The sequence below is a fragment of the Homo sapiens genome, chromosome 11 (genome assembly GCF_000001405.40).
Source record: "Homo sapiens chromosome 11, GRCh38.p14 Primary Assembly".
Lineage (NCBI taxonomy): Eukaryota > Metazoa > Chordata > Mammalia > Primates > Hominidae > Homo > Homo sapiens.
The window spans coordinates 35,890,695-35,893,683 of NC_000011.10; the positions used below are offsets into that span (position 1 = coordinate 35,890,695).

The 2,989-nt window shown below is 43.8% G+C and overlaps 1 long non-coding RNA gene across 1 annotated transcript; it reads left to right on the forward strand.

Annotated features, from left to right (window-relative positions):
- The first annotated feature begins 381 nt into the window (after window positions 1-381).
- LOC124902661 (uncharacterized) lies at window positions 382-2,272 on the forward strand. Its single transcript, XR_007062655.1, has 2 exons — window positions 382-415; window positions 1,182-2,272. It is a non-coding gene; the product is annotated as an uncharacterized LOC124902661 (long non-coding RNA).
- Window positions 2,273-2,989: the final 717 nt, after the last annotated feature.

Below are 2,989 nucleotides of genomic sequence, written 5' to 3' on the forward strand. Positions count from 1 at the left end.
TGCTCACTCCCCTGCCACTCACCTCCTGCTGTACCAGTACCGGTCCATGGCCCTGGGGTTGGGGACCCCTGCCTTACTTCATTACCTTCAATAGTTCCCCATTGTTTTTATGATGAAATTTCTATTCCTCAGATTTTCTCACAAGTTTTTGTTTGTTTTTTGTTTTGAAACAGGGTCTCACTATGTCACCCGGCTGGAATACAATGGCACAAATACAGCTCATGGCAGCCTTGACTCCTGAGCTCAAGCAATCTTCCCGTCTCACAATGCCTGGCTAATTTTTTATTTTATTTTTTTAGAGATGGTGTCTGGCTATGGTGCCCAGGCTGGTCTTGAAATCCTGGGCTCAAGTATTCCTTCTGCCTCAGCCTCCCAGTGTGCTGGGATTACAGGGATGAGCCACTGTGCCCTGCTGGTAAGTTCTTAATAACCTGATCCTGCTGTATCTTTCCCTTATCTTTCACTCCTCCCTCTGCAATCCTCCCTCCACTCTCCTAACCCCACCCTCCGCCAACCCCTGCTTCTCTCCTCCAGCATATGGAAGTCTTTGCAGCCCCTTGGATGCACTGGACTCTCTTTCAGTTTGGAATGCTGTACCTGGAGGGTGGGAACAACATGCCCTTGCTCCACCCTGCTAACTCCAATTCTCACCTCAAATCTCAACACAGGAGTGCTTCCTCCAGGAAAGCCTCCTTCAAGGCTGAGTTGGGCATCCCTCCTGCTTGCTGCCATAGTTCACTGTGCTTACCTCATCACAGTTATTCATTCACAAGTATTTACTGAGTGTTCCCATATAGCAGCCACTGGGCTAGGTCCTAGGAATACAGTGGGAAGAAACACTAATAAATAAGTAAAACAAACAAATACCTGATAAAATCCTATTCGTGATAATTTCTGGGAAAGAAAAGGATATACATGGAAAATAGGGGGTGAGGTAAAGACCACCTTATCCTATTTTATTCTTATGTTCTCTTTATTACTCTTTCCACTAGACAGCAGGTACCCCAAGAACAGAGATTTGTGTTACTCTTCGCTTTACTTCTAATGCCCAAGTAGGATGCAGCATAATGAAGGCATTCAATAAGAGCTTGTGGTATGAGCCATAACGATTTTCTCTTCCTTCCATTTCCGGGCCTGTTTTCAACATTGTTGGAAACTGGAAATTTCAAATCTCTTTCCAGGAAGGGTCAACTGGACAGAGAAAAAAGGACATTGAACGAAGACACTCTGAATTCAAAGGACAGAGAACAAAGACCCTGGCTTATTTGGAAATCAACCTCCTTCCCTAATCTGCCATGTATTTGATATCTATCGTTATTGGTATTTTAAATATAAGGACGTTTTAAATATGACCTCAAATTCTTTGACAATGCTTCCTCTTGAATGTGGGCTGGTCCTAATGACTAGCTTCCAATGAGTAGAAATTGCAGAAATGATGTGTTAATTTTGAGGCTACATCATAAAAGACAAAGATAATGCAGCTTCCATCTCCGTCCCTCTTCCATCTTGCTCTGTAGGAAGCCAGCTTCCATTTTGTAAGGACATTCCAATAGCCTAAGAAGCAATGCCCATGGTTAGGAACCGAAATCTCCTGCCAAATGACAAATGAGTGACCATCTCAGGAACAGCTCCCTTACCCCACCAAGCCTTCAGAGAGGACTGCAGCTCCAGCCAAAACCTTAGTTGCAACCACATGAGAGAGCCTGAGTCAGCCATTCAACTGAAGTGTTCCCAGACTCCTGACCCACAGAAATCCACAGATAATAAAAGTTTGGTTTCAACCACTATGTTTTGGGGTAATCTATTATGTAGCAGTAGATAATTAATATAATTTGTCTGCACACTGGAACTTATGTCGTAAAAGAAGGGAGTTAGCTGGGCCTTCTCTGCAAGAAAAGCCTCTCTCCATTCCAGACAAAAAAGGGGAACTTGTCTGAAAAATCAGAAGGGTAGTGGGATGGACTATTAGTGTCCCCCTAAAACTCATAAGTTAAAATCGAATTTGCAATGTGATGGTATTTGGAGGTGGGTCCTTTGGAAGGTAATTAGGTCATAAGGGTGGAACCCTCATGAATGGGATGAGTGACCTTGTAAAGGGAACCCCAGAGAACTTTCTTGCCCTCCCTCTTTCTGCCATGTGGAGATACAAGGAGAAGTGGACACTCTGCAACCAGGAAGAAGACCCTCACTAGAACTGACCATACTGGAGCCCAGAGCTTGGACTTGCAGCCTCTGGAACCACAAGAAATAAATTTTTGTTGTTTATAAACCACCCAGTTTACAGCTGATATAGTTTGCATGTTTGTCCCTTCCAAATCTCATGCTGAAATGTGACCTCCAATGTGGAAGGTGGGTCCAGTGGGAGGTATTTGAGTCATGGGCGTGGATCCCTCATGAATATCTTGATGCCCTCCCCACAATAATAAGTTCACATGCGATCTTTCTGGTTGTTTAAAAAAAAAAAAAAAACAAGAGAGAGATGGGGACCTCCTCTCTCTCTCTCGCCATGTGATACGCCTGCTCCCCCTTTGCCTTTCATCATGATTGTAAGCTTTCTGAGGCCTTACCAGGAGCCAAGCAGATGTGGGTGCCATGCTTGTATAGCCTGCAGAATCGTGAGCCAAATAAGCCTCTTTCCTTTATAAATTACCCAGTCTCAGGTATTCCTCTATAGGAATGCAAAATGGACTAACACAATGGCACTTTGTTATAGCAGCCTGAATCAAGACAGGTAGTTGCTTTTCCAGCTGTAAAGAGACTGGGCCTATCTTGGATTCTCAGGTTTCCAGCCTTCTCCATAACATCCCCTATGACCCCAAAGGAGTTGTGAATGTAAGTAGGCATATAATTAAAAATTCATGCATCTTGAAAACTTTCAATGTGTTGGCACTGTTCTAAAGAGCTTTGCATATATTAACTCGTTTAAGCCTCACAACTACCCCGTGAGATACTATGATTGTCCCTGCTTTACAAATGAAGAAACTGAGGC